At 42.4% G+C, this 18,269-nt stretch overlaps 1 long non-coding RNA gene across 2 annotated transcripts in view, besides 2 other annotated features; it reads right to left on the bottom strand.

Annotated features, from left to right (window-relative positions):
- Window positions 1-1,025: 1,025 nt before the first annotated feature.
- Window positions 1,026-18,269, bottom strand: part of GDNF-AS1 (GDNF antisense RNA 1) — a 35,916-nt gene continuing 18,672 nt past the window's right edge. For both annotated transcript variants that reach the window (NR_145476.1, NR_103441.2), the window contains exons 2-4: window positions 4,360-4,473; window positions 2,559-2,718; window positions 1,026-2,124 (exon numbers count right to left, since the gene is read on the bottom strand). This is a non-coding gene — a long non-coding RNA (GDNF antisense RNA 1). The remainder of the gene's footprint in view (window positions 2,125-2,558; window positions 2,719-4,359; window positions 4,474-18,269) is intronic.
- Window positions 16,867-16,916: an enhancer, noted in NCBI's record as "active region_22493". NCBI's record gives its function as "activates an Ori minimal core promoter by ATAC-STARR-seq in GM12878 lymphoblastoid cells {active_cell/tissue: GM12878}" and the evidence as "EXISTENCE:reporter gene assay evidence [ECO:0000049][PMID:35858748]".
- Window positions 16,947-17,006: an enhancer, noted in NCBI's record as "active region_22492". NCBI's record gives its function as "activates an Ori minimal core promoter by ATAC-STARR-seq in GM12878 lymphoblastoid cells {active_cell/tissue: GM12878}" and the evidence as "EXISTENCE:reporter gene assay evidence [ECO:0000049][PMID:35858748]".

Below are 18,269 nucleotides of genomic sequence, written 5' to 3'. Positions count from 1 at the left end.
CTGATTAAATTAAGTTCAACAAACATTTAAGATGCCTACTGTATTCGGCATTGTTGCATAACAAATTACCACAACCTTACCAGCTTAAAATAATATACATTTGTTATCTCAGTTTCCACAAGTCAGGAGTCCAGGCATGGCTGAAGCAGGTCCTCTGCTCAGCTGTTCATATGTTACAGTTAAGGTGTTCGTCTGGAGGCTTGACCATGGAAAATATCCACTTCCAAGCTCATTTGGATTGTTGGTAGAATTCATTTCCTTGTGGCTATGTGGCTGAACCACCTGTTTTCTTGCTAGCCAGTGGCTGGGAACTGCTGCCAACTCCTAGAGGCCACCCTCAGGACCTTGCCACATGGGCCCCTCCATAGGCCCCCTTAAAACACAGCTGCTTACTGCTTCAAAGCCAGCAGTGGACTGTCCTCCTTCAGGAAAGGCCCAGTCCTCTTTTAAGGGCTTTTCCCTGATTAAGGTAGGGCCATCCAGTATAATCTCCTTTGTGAGTAACTCAATATCAACTCATCTGGGACCTTAATTACATCTGCAGAATTCCTTCACCTTAGCCATATAATGTAATCTAATCAGAGAGTGACAGCCATCATATTCACAGGTCCCATTCATATTTGTGACACCCTGTCTCAAATTTAAAAAAAAAGAAAAGAAATGAAAAAGAGAGAAAGAGAGAAGGAGCAAAGGAAGGAAGGGAGGGAGGGAGAGAGGGAGGGAGGGAGAGAGGGAGGGAGGGAGGAAGTAGGGAAGGAAGGAGGGAAGGAAAGAAAAAGAAAGAAAGAAAGCTCACTCACAGCCTAACAAGGGCAGTGGATATGCAATAATAACTATTCCATGAGATATGTTCTATAATAGAGGTACATTTAACGTTCAGAAATAGCACAAAAGTAGTAACATAAACACTGAGCTTTGTAACATAAATAGGAGTTCACCAGGGAGGCAAGCATGAGGAAGATGGAGGGTGGGTTAAGTAGGATTGGCTCAAAACAGGTATAGTGTGATTAACAAATTACTAGTAATTTGATTTTGCTAAGATTTCAGCAAATGTGCTGAGCATTTTTATTTGCTGTATCTTGACTTGTCTTCCTTTTTAAAACAAAGAAAGAAAAGATTTCTAGTTGTCCTAAAGACTGGTCAATGGACCTCACGTATGTGTGTGAAAATGTTGTCCATGACTCATCCCCTTACAACATGATGACAACACTGAGGGGAAAGATGCATAGTCAGTTAATGCTCCAGGCCTATGAGAAAATGTACTCCCAGTTTCCTTCTGAATGTGTGGACCTTTTACAATGAGAAGCTTCCCTTGAAATAATGTTTCATTCCAGAATGGTAGAAATGAGTCCATACCTACAGACATAACAACAGCAAAAGCTACAGCAGTTGCAGAATTCCTGAGCATGAAGAACAGCAACCAAAGTTGGATGAAGACAGGGAAATCACAGTGCCTGTGGTGACACATGCTGAGAGCTGCACCCCACCGGGTGGTGCTTTTGTAACTCGCAACAAGATTCACTTTTGAAGCTTGAAGTCTTCTGACTCTTCTACCACAATATGTAAATACAGGCCAGAAAGAAAATGCCTCTAAAAATTACAGTAGCCTTCATGTCAACTCCAAAATACCTCTTTAGCCATGAGGAAGATGACGACATTGCAAATGAAAATGCAACCATCTTGCATGCGGTTCAGCTCTGAGTGTTCCACTCCCACTGCCAACAGTCTGATGTGGGATTGTTTCTGGTTACGCAGAGTTAGTTAACCTCCCTGTGGCCTTCCTGACAAGCCATATGGATAGGAACTACAAAGTACTGGGAGACCCGGATTCCAGTCTCAGTTCAATTCGTTCTTTCATTTATCCAGAATTGTTGGAGGACAAGTGAGTTTTCCACTTATTGGATAAATAAGTTTTCCAAACAACTGAAAATTTTGGCTAGCCACAAGATTTTTGCACTTTTATTGTTTAAATAGGGGAAATTCTCCTAAGATATGGAATATATTAAAAGCATGGGCCCTGGACCCTGGATGCCTGGGTTTGAATCTCAGCTCCAACACGTGCTTGCAGTGTGATGTTGGGCAAAGGGAACTTCTCTCTGCTTCCGGGGATAACGATAGTCCTTGCTTCAGAAAGTAGAAAGAGTAAATAAATTAACCATACAAAACAGAACAGTACCTAGCACATAAAAATTGTTTCAGTAAGTATTATTGTTATTACTATAAACAGAATGACTAATAGAAAACAGGAGGCTTTTCTTCTCAGAGTCATCATTATAACCACTAAGCAAAATATTGCATGTGTATATATGCATATTGTTTACATATATAATATATATGTATAAGTATACAAATATTTTATGTATTTATGTATACACATACTTTATACAACCACACACTCACTAAATATATACACATACATATATATGTATGCATCTATACATGCATATATAAATATATATATATATATACACACACACACACACACTCTCTCTCTAGACGTAAATATATAAAATCATGCCCTCATAACCCACTGGAATATATTAGGGAACTACATTTACCTTAAATGACCTCAGAAGTTTTCGCTTCTGGTTTTTCGCACCTTGTGTTTGCCTGTTTTAAACATCCTGGTCTCCTCTTTCATTGGTGGAACTGCTAGCAGCCGTGTCTGGCTATGTCTGACTTCTTCCTCCTCTGAGTTGTTCTTCTATTCTTCCGTGACTGAGAAACCAGATTGCAAAGCTTGTTAGAATTGTGGCTAACATAAGAGCCCAGAGTTCCGAATGAGAATCTCAGAGGCTCCTCTATGAAGAAAACGGATGGGCTTTACTGTTTGGACACTGGATCACCTGCTATGGCTAATCTGATCACTGTGTTTAGCTTGCTTTCTGGTTCTTAATCTGTGCTTTTCAGATGTGCTCACAAGACCTTCAGGCTGGGTGAGCAGATTCAAGGGGCTACCGTGGTGTAGAAAGGGGTGGCCAAGGTGGGGTTTAATCTAGGAAGGCTCCAAGCCCTCCATTTTGCTTCAACCAGAGAAGCTCTGAGATGTTTTATATAATGGGCTTCTGCATAGCATGCCATTTGCAAAAAGGGTTCCGCTACTACATTAATAAATAAAGTTGGCAACTACTGTTCTACAGAGTCATGTGTTTGCTAGATAAATGACATCTGGACATACACTCTTTTATGTATGTTTGAAATATTTCAAATAAAAAATGAGAGTCACAAGCCAAACCAACCCTAGAGATTAAACATAACAAAAATTCATATACAATAAATGAGACAGGGCATCCACAGAAAACATTTCCAAATAAACCACCATAACTATGATTTGTAAATTTTGTAATGATGTTAGGTTAACCCCACATCCCACCACAGAGCCACCATGTTAAAAGTCAATAAATATAAAATAAGTATAATTTTAAGAAGTCTAAAATGTTAATGATGGCTACAAATAGACAGGGCTTGAGTTACATGATTGGGAAAAGGGGAATTTTAAGAATAGTTTCAGGGTTTTTCCAGAACTCATGAAAAGAGATTCTAACAGTTGACACAGGTTTCTAGTCAGAAACATCCATACACTGGAGATGGACATATTAGCATGATGGAAACGATCTTCCAGCAACATTAAGCTCCCTCTTGTTCTAACTAACTCCATCTTACTAACTGTATGAGTTAGAATTGTTTTGTCTGCAAGAAACAAACAAAAACCCCCACAAAAACAGTGTGGTTTAAATAAGATCAAAATTTATTCAGTTAGTTAGTTATTTGTTTGTTTGTTTGTTTGTTTGTTTGTTTTTTGAGACAGAGTCTCGCTCTGTATCCCAGGCTGGAGTGCAGTGGCACGATCTCAGCTTACTGCAACCTCTGCCTCCCGGGTTCAAGCAATTCTCCTACTTCAGCCTCCCAAGTAGCTGGGATTAGAGGCGTGTGCCACCACGCCCAGCTAATTTTTGTATTTTTAGTAAAGACAGGGTTTCACCGTACTGGCCAGGCTGGTCTTGAACTCCTGACCTTAAGTGATCCACCTGCCTCGACCTCCCAAAGTGCTGGGATTACAGGCGTGAGCCACCACTCCCGGCCAAGATCGAAAGTTATATATTTCTCAGTTGAGAAGCCTGGCAGGAGGTAGTCCAGGTCGGCCATGGCACTCTATGGTATCAGGGGCCCAGGCCTGCTCTACTTTATTGCTCTGTCATGAGCGGCCGCCATTCTCAAGGTCTCTTCTAGTCCAAAATGGCTGCCAGAGCTCCAGACATTACAGCCACCTTCCAGACAACAGAGAGCAGGAAGAAGAAGAGGAAATCCCTCTTCCTTCAAGGAGACTTGTAAGAAGTTTCACAGACCCCTTCTGCTTACCTCATATTGACCACAACTTAGTCACATGGCCACACAGAACTGCACAGAAGGCTGGGAATTGCAGTCTGTATTCCAGACAGTTCTGTGCCCAGCCAAAACTCAGGTATTCCAGTACTAAGAAAGAAGGAAAAATAGATATTGGATGACAACAAAAGTCTCTACCATGCCAAATTATCTCCTGATTCTTATTTCCACTTCCTGAGTGAACCCACTCACCAAGAATAGAGTGGTATCCCATTGTCCACTTTTTGCCCAATTATATTCTTAAAAATTAATTTTCAAGTCAGTGTAAAGCCACAAACACTTGTTAGGTGCCTATTATGATTTATACAATGGAATACTATTCAGCAATGAAATGTAGCAAACTATTAATATATAAAACTTCAATGAATCTTGAGAAAATTATGCTGAGTGAAAACAGCCAGAAAAACAGAGTACATGTTGTATGATTCCACTTATATAAAATTCCAGAAAACACAAACTCATCTGCAGTGACAGAAAGCAGAATAGTGGTTGTCTGGGAACAATGGGAGGAAGGGGGGTGGCTTGCAAAGGGACACGAGAAACTTTAGGGTGGATGAATGCGTTTATTATCTTGATTGCAGTGATGGTTTCACGGGTATAGACATATATCAAAACTCATCAAGTGTAAAACTTTAAACACATGCAGTTGATCTGACATCATGTATGCCTTGATAAAGCTGTAAAACACTTTTTTAAAAAGAACGTGTTACATGCCTGGTGCTATGCTAGGCATGAGAGGCACAAGATAAAGGTACAAGGTCCTGTCCTCAAAGGGCTCACAGCCCAGTAAGTCATCCTGATTAATGAATTAGGCTTGTGAGTACAGATGGGGTGAATACATGCTGAGTCCCAACACACTAAGAAGGCACTCAGCCTACAGACCGAGAGTCAGACTTTGTCCCGTAAGTACCCCCAGCCCCCAAACCCAGCCTGTAACAGGCTTCAGCGTTTGACAATGAGGAGCACCGTGTATACATGCACGGCTCTTTTAACCTACTTCTACTAAAGCTCTGGATACACATGGTGAACAATATATTAATATCTTAAACATCCCATGGTAAATTGTATATTTTCCACTCTTAGAAATGGAATTCCATGACGTGTTCTCTTCACTTTCCACATCTGTGTTGCAGAACCAGGAAGGATCCATGACAAAGAAGTAGTTGGCACAAATGAATCTTCTGAAAGAATAGTCTGGTGAGACAGCTATTTGGAATCTGCTGTTTCCAGTGACCAATACCACTCATGTTTGACATCTCTTGATATTGCTCCTGTGGTGTGTGCAACATTGCAAGAGTGCAGTGCTAAGCTCTGAAAGCCCCAGATGGCAGCTCAGGGGGAAAATACTATAGAGCAAATTATTTTCTCTATTTCCTCCTCAATCTTGCCCCTCTAGTTCCTAGGGCTTATGAAGGTCAACAGAATGTATCCTTAGAACTGAAAGCTGTTGCTCCTACCTTTTCCACCTTCAGAAAAAAATCATTAGCTGCAGTGCAGATAGTTTCATCACAAAAAAGTAACAAAATTGATCAACTGAAAATCTTTGTGGAAGAAGAGATTTTGTTTTTGTCATCTCCCTTAAGCCCTTTCCATGTTGGCCCGTGCAGCCTGAACATCACTGAGTAGGGAATTTCATACAGGGTTGCAGTAAGTGCTCCCCACAACCCAAAATACCTCCCCCTTAGCCTAATAAAACATCTGACACGCTTGCATGAATCCTTTTAGACTAAGACGCTGAGGCTGAATTGTCCTCTGGGAAAAGAAAGCAAAAATCCAACTGGCCTGCATTACTGAGGAGACCTTGAAAGACTGACGTAAGATAGCCCCCGATGGAAGAAAACGGGCAGGGTCCATGGGGGTGGCCCGCAGGATCACTGTGGACCTGCTGGGGGTGCGACAAAGGACAATGTGAGAAGGAGGAGATAGTGACAATAAACTTTGGTTATGCCAAATTTTCTGAAGAGCCAGCACTTCTTACTGTGAAAAACTGATCTGGAGTGAAGTGATGAATTATCCCATCCAAAATTACCAATTCTTTTCAAGAACTCCTTTCACTTTTATTCAATCCCCTAATAAAAGCAGGCTTGTTGTCCTCATTAAGCCCAATGTATTGGCATCTGAAGTGTATTGATGTACTCGCATGTGATTTCCCTAATTACACTGGAACTTGCAATGCCCAAGAACTCTGCTGATGAAAATAATCCTTCTGTAATATTTCCTTTTTGACTGGGCACCTCTGGGCATTAAAAACACATTTTCAATGAAAACTAGGAAGGGCTTTCTTAGTTCTTATCACATTAATCTTGTCATCTAAACTTTTCTACTGGAAAGCTAGCTTCTTCTATAAATCCATTTCTCAAATTATTTTGGAAGTAACCTAAGATACTACATCAATGAGAAGGCCCAGAGCAGACGTGGGAGGAAGGAAAGAGGAATCAATGACAACCTTCAGCATCTATTCTTTAAGGACTAGCAGCTTAAACCCCCTAAAAAGAACATGTGAATAATCAACTCACTCCTGAAGCTGAAGGGAATAATTCTATCTGAAACAGAAATCCCTCATTATAATATGGTTTTCATAAGCAGATATTTCCAAAGGGACAGAGAGGTAGGGGACAGGGAGATGTCAGAATATATCCATCCAAACCCAACATTGAAAAGCCCGCAAAACACATTTAGCTACAAGTTGGAGTCAGTTCTAATTCCCAGTATGTCACACAGGCGTCTCACAGCATTCACCACAACACCCCTGTGACTGTCCAAGCACATCCACACCTTGCCCTTGGACAAGTCACACCTTGTCCCTGAGTCTAATTTCTCACCCATACAAAGGAAAGGTTTGCCTAAGGGACCTCTGCAGTCTGTCAAAACTATCCTATAATGGATATAGGATATATCCTATAGTGGAATTACCCTGATGCTCTCCTACTGGCCCTGCTGTGTCTTAATTTTTTGGTGCCTTAAGTCCTTACAGCATGACTCTTCTCAAGACTACCCAAGGAAGCACACTTTCAGTGTTTTGCAATACCACATGTTATGGTTTGGCTGTATCCCCACCCAAATCTCATCTTGAATTGTAGCTCCCATAATTCCTACATGTCGTGGGAGGGACCCGGTGGGAGGTGACTGAATCATGGGGGCAGGACTTTCCCATGTTGCTCTCATGATAGTGAATAAGTCTCATGAGATCTGATGATTTTATAAAGGGGAGTTCTCCTGCACAGGCTCTGTTGCCTGCTGCCATGTAAAACATCTCTTTGCTCTTCCTTCATATTCTGCCATGATCATGAGACCTCCCCAGCCATCTGGAACTGTGAGTCCATTAAACCTCTTTCCTTTATAAATTACCCAGTCTCGGGTATGCCTTTATTAGCAGCATGAGAACAGACTAATGCACCACATCCAAAATGCCAAGAGAGAACTTCTTTGGGTGCATATTCAGAGTGGTTCATGGAAAAGCTAACAGTGCAGGCCTACTGCCTGCTGAATGGACCTTCTAAGCACTATCAGTGCAGAATAGCCCAGAACTAAGGGAGATTTTGCCCCTCAGGAGACATCTGGCAAAATCTGGAGACATTTTTGGTTGTTGCAACTTAGTGGGGAAGGGTTGCTCCTGGCATCTAGTGAGTAGAAACCACAGGTGCTGCTAAACATCCTACAATGCACAGGACAGCCACCAATAACCAACAGCCATTCTGCCCAAAATGTCAATAGTGCTGAGGTTGAGAAACCCAGGCCTAGATCGGTAGAACCAGCAGTGTGGGGCAGCCAGCTCTTACCAGTGCATGAGAGTTAAATGTGTGCATCTCTTTCCAGTTCCATGTTCATGAGGTCACTCTGGTAAGATGAAATCTGCCATGGTGGGAGGATTTACACCACAGAAATCAGCAAATCAGCTCTACAAATCAAGGCAATTTTATGTCTGCGAGCGAGTTGTTAAACATTTATCAACACACCGCTAATCCAAACCAGCACCTGAAGTAACTCGGAAGCCCAAAGTTCTTTCAGCAAGAAGGCTATACTGTAGTGAGATGACTTTACCTATGGGAAAGAAGTGGGACTTCCTAACATTACCTAACAACCATGACAAAAAGGAAGGACACAGAATGAGGGACATCGTGGGCAGATATTGGAAGAATCTCCTGTTCTTTGGTTTCATTTGCTTACTTTTAAATATGCACTGCCTTCTTCCAAAGAGCACTTGAGGGGACAATTAGGAAATACAGAACAGGCTTGTTTACTAAACTGCTCAGAGGAAAAGCATAATGGAAAAATAATAATTCAATACCTTTAATTTTGAAAAATTGACGTACAAAAATAAAGATCAACACACAACAGGTGCCAAGCCCGAGGAGCAGGCAAGCTGATCCTTCCGCTCCAGCCCAGCTGCCTGACAGACACATTTCCTAGTGGGTCCTGGATGCTGGCAAATCTGGACTCTACCAGACCCCCCCACGAGGAACCGCAGGGCCCCCTCTTGCCTTCCAGAGCTCCACACGGAGGATGGAATGCCCTACAGAAACTCAAGCCACATTGTAGGGAAACCCTTTTCCAGCTTGCTCTTTATTGCTGTCTTGATATTTGCCTCTGGTTGCTATGGCAAAATCTGGCATTGGAATTTTTCTGGGAACAAATAGGAAATAGTTGTGGGGGAGGTTCAAGATCCTACATACATTTAGGTCTGGTTATAAACACTCATAGTAAAATAAAGCATTGACTCATTAAACCCAAAACAAACCAAAAAAGAATTTTTTTAAATCCTCTTTCAAAAACTCTTACTTTGTTCCAAAGGTGACCAGCTAGAAAGTTGTTTGCCCTTATGGACAAGATCACCAGCAAAATGAACTAACAGGTTAGAGGACCGATCAGTTGGGTTACTGGTCACCCCATGCCAAGTCACACGCTGCCTTTAGCATGTTTCATTTCTGGAGCTGGAAGTGCTCACCCTACACAGAAGAAATTTTCCATTTGCAGGAGTGGATTATTTTTTCCAGCCTCACTGAGGAATATGCCAGGACTGCAGCCATTCAAACTCTGGCACCACCTAAGAAAAGCTTAGGAGGACATGCAGGCCTGTGGCACACCTTGAACCCAGAAGGGCCGGGTGTCTCTTTGTTACTGCCTAGTAATATAGTTTGGATATTTGTCCCCACCCAGATCTCATGTTGAATCGTAATCCCTAATGCTGGAGGAGGGGCCTGGTGGGAGGTGTTTGGATCATGGGGGCAGATCCCTCATGGCTTGGTGCCATCTTCACAATAGTGAGTGAGTTGTTATGAGACCTGCTCATTTAAAAGTCTGTAACACCCCCCACCACCATCCCCAATCTCTCTCGCTTGCTCCTGCTTTCAACTTGTGGCATGCCTGTTCCCGCTTCCCGTTCTGCCACGATTAAAAGCTACCTGAGGTTTCACCAGAAGCTGAGCAGATGCCAGCACTATGCCTCCTGTATAGCCTGCAGAACTATGAGCCAATATAACCTCTTTTCTTTATAAATTACCCAGTCTCAGGTATTTCTTTATAGCAATGTAAGAATGGCCTAATACATCTATCTTTCCCTAAGGCCACTATATCTGAAGAGTTCCTGAATCTCCACTTTTCACCTAAGCCCCAACTGTTCTCTCAGTTCACATCCACAGCTCACATGCCCTGACTTGTCTCCTAGGGCCAGCCATATATTTGGGAAGAAACATTGCCACTCATACACGGTGAATTAAAGAGGGTGAAAGTCCTCTCTGCCCTGTATGAGTTAGCCCGTGTGGCTGGGTGTCCCTAGCATTCAAGGCTGTCATCAAAATACAAAGCCTCCTTAGAGATGTATGGAGAGGTATCATATTGTAGACTTTACCAAAGATTTCAAAGGGGAGATTCTTCAAGTGCCATCTGTCTCCAACCTATCTTTTTTCCATCCTATTTCCTAATGCTCCCCAACAAGCTAGCTCAGCTCCAGTCAAGCTCATATCTTACTATCTCTTGCATCTACCATAGATGCATCAGAAATAATGATAAAAATATGTTACTACATACAGCAATCTTTACTTATCAGAGTATCTCTAAAAGACAACATATTTGTTTGGAGTAAATACTTAGGTAAGCCATTTGGGAAGGAGAGGAGAGATCTCAAGGTTGTGTTCAAATAGCAAACAGCGGTCACTGAAGTATTATTTATAAAATAAGGGAGGAAAGAAAAAGCAATAGGTAACAGGAGGCAGGGCCTATGTGGGAGGGGACTAAAGAGGTAATACGTATAAGAACAACTACTTTTCTAGAAGTCACCACCACCTGACACTGTTCCAATTTCTCTATATATATCAACTCATTTAATTCTTACTACAATCCGATGAAGTAGTTAATAATATTATCCCCATTGCACAGGTAGGGAAACAAAGCCCCTGAACCCTTCAGTAACTTGCCCAAGGTTACCTGGCTTGTGAATGGTGGAGATAGTAAGTGATGGTCTGACTCCAGACTGTACTTTGAACCACTTTACTCAATGGCCTCAGTGGGGAAGCCTCTGCTTGCAGTTGAGGAAGGACTGCAAAGCAGTAGACTTAAAAGATTTTATCAAATATAAGAAGACATCAACATAAGACACACCATTGTCTTATGTATTGCTACCAAAGGAAACATGCTGCCAATTATACTATGACACACCAACACAGCAAGACAGAGTCTGGTTTCCAAGATTTCAAATACTCAACTAGGAAAAAGGTATATATTGGAAATGATGAACACAGTATCAAAGTGGAATATGAATCTGTTGTGGGGGTTACAGTGAAACCTCCATCATCTTCCCTTTGAATCTCCACAGTAAACTCCACATTTCTCACAAATGCTTTCGTGAGCATTGATTATTGAGAGGAGGTGGTAGCAAGGAAAAACTCCCAGAAGTGCCATTTGTGTGTGTGCACGTGTGCACACGTGTGCAGAGGCAGAGCAAAGACAATTTTAGCAAATTCAAAATGTACTTACCCTACATTTAGTTATGCAAAGAAAATGTACCTTCATTATTTTCTATAATTGATCCAATCTTTCTCCTGAGCTCTTCACTTTACTGAGTAAAGAAGGAGAATTAAATGTCATCTAGTCCAATAATTTTAAATGCCTTCTGGATATTTTGGTATTGCAGCACCCCCTGCCCCCTACCACTGCTCCACTTTCCCATTTTTCTCCAAGATGACTCCTGGGGGAAGGGTCTGCTTCATGGTGGTAGGAAAGGGGAGGAAGGTCCTTGGCCCACATGATTCATATGTGCAGGTTCCTGGCCTGTCCTCCAGTTCATCTAGTTCCCACCCTGGAAGGCCTTGATGCTGAAGTCTGTGGCTGATCTGCCTGCTGTGTGCTTACTGGGGCCATGCTGACCCAGCTCCACTTAGGTCCTCGTAGGAGCTGCATATCCTTCTGAGGTATGGCTATGTCTCCCATTCCATCTCCACCCTGGGCAGTACCCCCGCTGGCAACCCCCTGATAAGCTCATCAGCTGGGACTACTTACTCATGGCACTCACAGCATGCTTGCTCAATGAGCTTGGGTGTCACTTCCAGTTCCTCCCAATCGCAGCTCCTTGCCAGCCACTACACTGAGGCTGTCATATTAAAGAAGCTATTTGCCATCCTACCTCTATCAGGGATCCGCTGAGAGGCTCACCTGTTGGCAGCTACCTGTGCCCAAGAGACAACAGTCACCTGAAGGGGAAATGCAAACATTATACAATGTTGCAATTAGTGTTAATGGAATTAATAAAGATCAAGATCACCTACTGAGCACATTAGCATGCAGATAGCATGTTCTAGTCCTAGTGGATACTCAGTATATTTCCAGCTTAGTCCATGATTTTAGACTGGAGTTCTATGAAGACAGGGACAATGCTTATCTTGTTCATCATTGTATTTACATGCATAATGGGCACTGAATATTTGTCAGATGCATGTTAAAGTTTAAAAGGGAAGAATAGCAAGTCACTTACATTAAAGGATAATGTTGTCTAGGCCAGTGGTTCTTAAGTGGAGATAACTTTATCCCCCAGAAAACATTCGGCAACATCTGGAGACATTTTTGGTTGTCACAACTGGGGAGGGGAAGCTACTGGCATCCAGAAATGCTGCTCAACATTCTACAATGCAAGTGACACCCCCAAAAAAACAAAGAATTATTTGGCCTAAAATGTCAATAGTGCTAGAACTGAGAAACTCTGATCTAAGGATTTGAGAGCTACAGATCATGGTGTGCTGGTAAATGTTAACAACAGGCTCTCTGGATAAGGGAGGGACTCCTGATTCATAATGTTTACCAATTTACATGAAATAAATACTACAACCATGGCTGATTTCAAGCTCCAACGAGACATCATTTTGAAACACACAGTTGGGAAAAGGGCATAGCAGAGCACACTGTTATACAATATTTCCACCCTGCAGTTAAAATAGACTGAAATAACCCCAACAGCATAGATAATAGTAACATATAGTAAAATAATTTGTAAGTAATGAATTTTTATTATTATTATTACTACCTTTGTTTTTAATGAAATATATTTAAATGTAAGTTTAGGCCATTTCACTTTTATAATGGCTGTATTTAATAAGTGGTTCACAACATTCCTGAAACTTTAACATTGGCCTTTGTGAGTCCGTATGAGTGACCCCCAGCATATATCTGGCCAGGGATAATGCAAATGGAAAGAGATAAGTTGAAGGGTTGAAGGGAGGCAAGAGGACACGCTGCAAACATCAAACAGTGCCCTTGGCCCGTGTAGTGAGAGGAGGCTGAAGAGCAACTGCAGAGACATCCTGAAGCACAGAGCACCTTGTGAGATATGAACATGGGAGCCACCCAGAGGAGAAAAGGTGTTGGGATGTGTTCCCTAATGGGCGACCCCACTTGCTCTACTTTGAAACATTAAAAATCCAGCTTCCAGCTGGTTGCGGTGGCTCACGCCTGTAATCCCAACACTTTGAGAGGCTGATGCAGAAAGATCGCTTGAGGCCAGCAGTTTGATATCAGCCTGGGAGGTATAGCAAGACTCCACCCATCTCTACAAAATAAAAATTAAACAAATTAGCCAGTCACAGTGGTGTGTATCTATAGTTCCAACTACTCAGGAGGCTGAGGCTGGAGGATCGTTTGAGCCCAGGAGTTTGAGGCTTGCAGTGAGCTATGATTGTGCCACTGTACTCCAGCCTGGGTGACAGAGGGAGATCCTGTATCAAAATTAAAACCTTAAAAAAATCCCCTCTCATGTATCTATCTATAGACAGATATAGATAGATAGATAGATAGATAGATAGATAGATAGATAGATAGATAGACAGACAGACAGACAGACAGATAGATAATATAGATGGGTAGATAATAGGTAGGTAGATAGATGGATAGATAGATAGATAGATAGATAGATAGATAGATAGATAGATAGATAGAGATATAGGTGATATAGATATAGATACAGATATATTAATAGATATACCCTACTGGTTCTGAGTAACACCATATTAAAAGTAAAAGCAAATGAAAACAGCGTTCCTCAGTACCTCCCCTAACACAAAGAGAGAAGTGAATAGAATTTAAATGGAGGGAAATGTATACATAGTTTCCTATTTTCTTAAGAATTAAACATCGAGGACTGTCTGCTATAGTGTTCTATCACATTGTGCAGGCTTAATAAATAAAGAATTTAAACCAATAAATAAAGAAATTAAATTCTTAATAAATAAAGGATTTAAACCTTCCCCAGGGGAGACAGGAAAATGCACACTGGCATGAGCACATACTGCTCAGGTTAGAGGGCTTCTGTCTGCTCCCCCGGGGAGAATCTGGCCCAGTAAAGGAAGCACTGCTTTCGTGTGTGCTTTAGGAGTCTATCCAGAGCTGCAGTCCTCATGGCTGGAGAAGTGAACAGGGCGCAGAGCTGATCCTGCTAAACTGCATCCACTTCCCGAGGTTTGGGATGAACCCATCAAGGTCTCAAGACAGAAGGCCGGGGTAGCCTAGCTTCTCCCTCTGTAGACTAGGGCTGCTGAATGCAGGGAAGTCCATGTAGCTCCAGAGAGGCCAGCGGGTCTCTCCAAAATCCCATTCCTCCACTTCCAGTAACATCTAACATCTGCCCACCTCAATGGACCTGCTCTCTGTTAAACAAGTAGAGTGTTTGAATTCCACATTTTCCTTTATAAAAATCCTCAGATGGCCAAATCTCAAAAAATATCCACATGTGAACGTGGGATTTGGAAGACAAAATAGAACGGGGAGGAGCGCTGTTACTCTTAGGCCCAGGAAAGGGGCACCCACAGTACTCCTCTGGTTGTGCCCTTTCCTATGGAGTGAAGAGTTGAGGGGCACAGAGATGTACCCACCTGGAGGCTGCAGCCTGCCTCTCCTCTTTCAGACTATGTCTTGGCTACGAGAGACCTTGAATCCCCTGTCCAAGTGGTCTTAAGTCCACTTCCAGAGCTTTCCCCAGGCCTTTTCTCTCCACGGCAGGTCACACCGCCAGTGCACACACCCCTAAGCCATGAGGTGCTGTTTGTGGGATACAGCTTGGATGTGTAGGCTAGGATGTCCACACACATATGTGTACCACCCCCTTATGTGGACTGCCAGGGTGGGAAGAAATGAGGGACAGGCCACAGGCCATGGGCTAAATGTCCACACCCTCTGAGCCACCACATTCCTCCATGGTGCTCCAAAACCCACAGATGCTCAGTGCACAGCAGCCCTTGTGCACAAGTGTCTTTATCAAGGCAGGAGGATGGAGCATCTTTTATTTAACACTTTGCCAGCTTGATTTATCACTTTTAAATATTTAGGTATGGTATATGAGCCTCTGTTTTTACACTTGCAGGGCCCCACAAAAGTTAGGGAAGGACCTGGGGAAGGAAAAACATTTAAGGGAGGGATGGGGGATCATCAGGATCAAAAAGGACCAAAATTGTTTCTTTGCTATGTGGTGCTTAAAATAGTGCCCAGTACATAGTAAGTTTTCAAATATTTGTTGAAAGGGAAAAGTTGGAGGGGGGAGGGAGAGAGAGAAAGAGCGGGGAAGGAATTTGTGTTAAACCTTTCACACTTTCAGGAGTTTGTGACACGGAGTCAGAGAGGTCAGAATTCAAATCCTGTCTTTACCATTCCACTTGTGCATCCTTGGGCAAGTTTTTCAACATCTCTGATCCTCAATGTCCTCATCTGGAAAAAGGAGAAGCCACGCTTATCACATAGGAGAACAAATTAGTATTAACTGCTTACACTGTTCTCAAGACCATCACCATTTTCATTAAATGCTCCACTCCCTCAATCCCATTTAATTTATAAGATGTAATGTGAGTATCAATTTGTTTCAAATAACCTCAAGGAGGCTATTTCTACTGACATGGCTAATGCAGAGAGAGAAATATTTCATGATCAGCCCCACCAACATCCTCAAATGCCCCCCTACCACCATAGCAGGTGCTGCTGGTGCCCACCCATACCCCTAGGCACTCATCACTTCAGTACTCAGTAGTCTGACTTCCAGTTGCCAAACCAGCATTTCTTTGCATAAAGGCATCCTCAGACCTCCAGAGCCCACTAAGCCACTTGCATGGCAGGACTGCCTTCAACCAATGATGGGCAGGAGCTGGTAGAAAACCCTGGCTCTCTTACTCCTAGAGTAAGATAACTATGAGGGGCATGTTCTACACTGAATCCCAGCAGGATCATGTTCTAGTTACCCTTAGTGATAACTTGCTTGATAATAGACACTTTGGTTGCTACACAACAAGTATGCCTGAGTATGGCCATGCCAGTTACTACAGCCAGTATTCCTTCTAATTGCTCAGTGCTCGTGCCTTATCACTTGTTAAATATTTTCCAAATCACCCCTTCACATTTAACCAATAAGTTGTTCCCCCAAGTGATTCTTAGGAAACATGAATATTATATCAGACTAGATCCAATAGCAATTTCACCTAATAAACTACTATTTATTAGTGTCCCCCTTGTTCCTGCGATGTATGGCACTAAAAGGCAATAGTTAAATGAACAAGAAATGGACAATAAAAGATCATTCAGTGCTTCCAGTAAACACCACGGATTTGTTGTTGTTGTTGGAAATCTTCCCATGTGTGTGAGTGAAGTGCCATGACTACACACAGTGTATCAAATAGGCATCTGCTCCCAAGTGCTTTTGTACTTGGCTGTGACCTCAGGGCTTGACAAACATGTTGTCTCCGTGTTTTTATTTATTATCTCACAATCCTTTGGATGGTGACAAATTCTAAGATTATAACAAATATATTACGATACCAATATGAATATAATGTAACAAAAAGATGACCTAGATCTATCGTAGGTGAATGCCAACCCAAACAGTGGCTAAACTGAGCAGCTGTTCGCAATTAGGTCCAATTAACAAGTTTTAAACACAGCATGACCGGGAACCTCTTTGAAGTGTGTTGCCCCATGAAGGTTTTGCTTGAAAGGGGTTTCCCAGTGATAACCAGTCAAAACCCACAGCTGAACAGCTTCACTTCCTCTTTAGACTTCAGTGCCATGTAGAGTTCACACTTTTAATTCATCTTCCCCAGTTTTGTATATAAATATTTCAGACATGTAAAGAAATGTCTGGAAAGGCATCTTTGCTGAAAAGGACATTGTGAAACCAGGAAGGAGGAAAGCACGGGGCAGGGCTCCTGGGCTCTACTTGGCAATCTGTTGAAACGATGATCCCTACAGAAAAGGAAATCTAGGTATTCAATAAGGCATACAAGAGCATCGTCTACTCTGACATAAAAGCTCCATGAGGGCAAGAACTTGGTCTGGCTCATCATTGTATCCCTAGTACCTACTAATTAGACTGGCACACAGAAGACCTACTATAGATATTAGATGAATGAATGAATGAATGGCTATTTACTAAATGAATAAACAAATGCTCATATGAAGTAATAAAATGAATAAAGTATATACATATGCTTGGAAAACACAAGCTATTTAGTAAAATCTAACCCACATGAGTATGTGTGACACAAAAGCACACAGAGGCACACATACAACACACACACACACACACACACACACACACACACACAGAAAAAGGCAGAAATTTGTCTCCTAATTATTTTGCTGGTCCTGCCTATTTGGTGATAATTTGGGACTTAAATTTCAGCTTCATTTCTCCTATCTGACAAAACGATGGGAAATGCAAGGTTGGACAGAATGCGCCTAGAGTGGTGCCTGGCACATGGTAAGCACATAATAAATATTTGAGGACTAATGCGTGAAAAAACTACGTGGTGCTTGTAGAAAAAACTACATGGTGTTCCACCATCCCTGGCCAGAAGAGGCTCTGATATCTCCATGTTTCATTCCTTGTGCATTTCCTAAGTCTTGTTCACTGGCTTTCCTGCAAGTCCCTCTCATTCGAGGACACCAGGCCCAGCTCCAAAGGAAAGTTTTGGAAGAAGAGACAGGGAGCCATCTTCCTTCCCTCCAGGCCTTGTGGAGACAGTGGAGTCAGTGGCTTTGTTGTAGGTGAAGTGAGATGCTTATTTAGGAGATGCTCTGCAGACAGTGAGAGATCTGCCAGGAGGCAGGGCTCCAAAACCTGGGTTGCCTGTTACAATGCTGATTCCTGGGTCCCAGCCCTAAAAGGCTCACACTCAGTGGGTCTAGGATATAACCCAAGAATCTGCACAATAACAACCACCCTGGTGATTCTGATGCAGATGATAAACTACTAGAGCCACTGGACTAGAAGGAAAGCCTTCCGGAAGGAGAAAGATGTTCATCCCAGCGTGCCTACATCTGGTGAGTTAGTGCCATCCTGAGGCATCCTTCAGGGAAGTCCTCAAGCATTCTCTAGACAAGACTTTAACTGACTTTAAAAGAGAAAGAACACACATTCTTTCTTT

This window comes from Homo sapiens, chromosome 5, assembly GCF_000001405.40.
Source record: "Homo sapiens chromosome 5, GRCh38.p14 Primary Assembly".
In the NCBI taxonomy this organism is placed as follows: domain Eukaryota; kingdom Metazoa; phylum Chordata; class Mammalia; order Primates; family Hominidae; genus Homo; species Homo sapiens.
The sequence above is the reverse complement of the archived record's forward strand: the minus strand, read 5'-3'. Positions and strand labels throughout refer to the sequence as shown.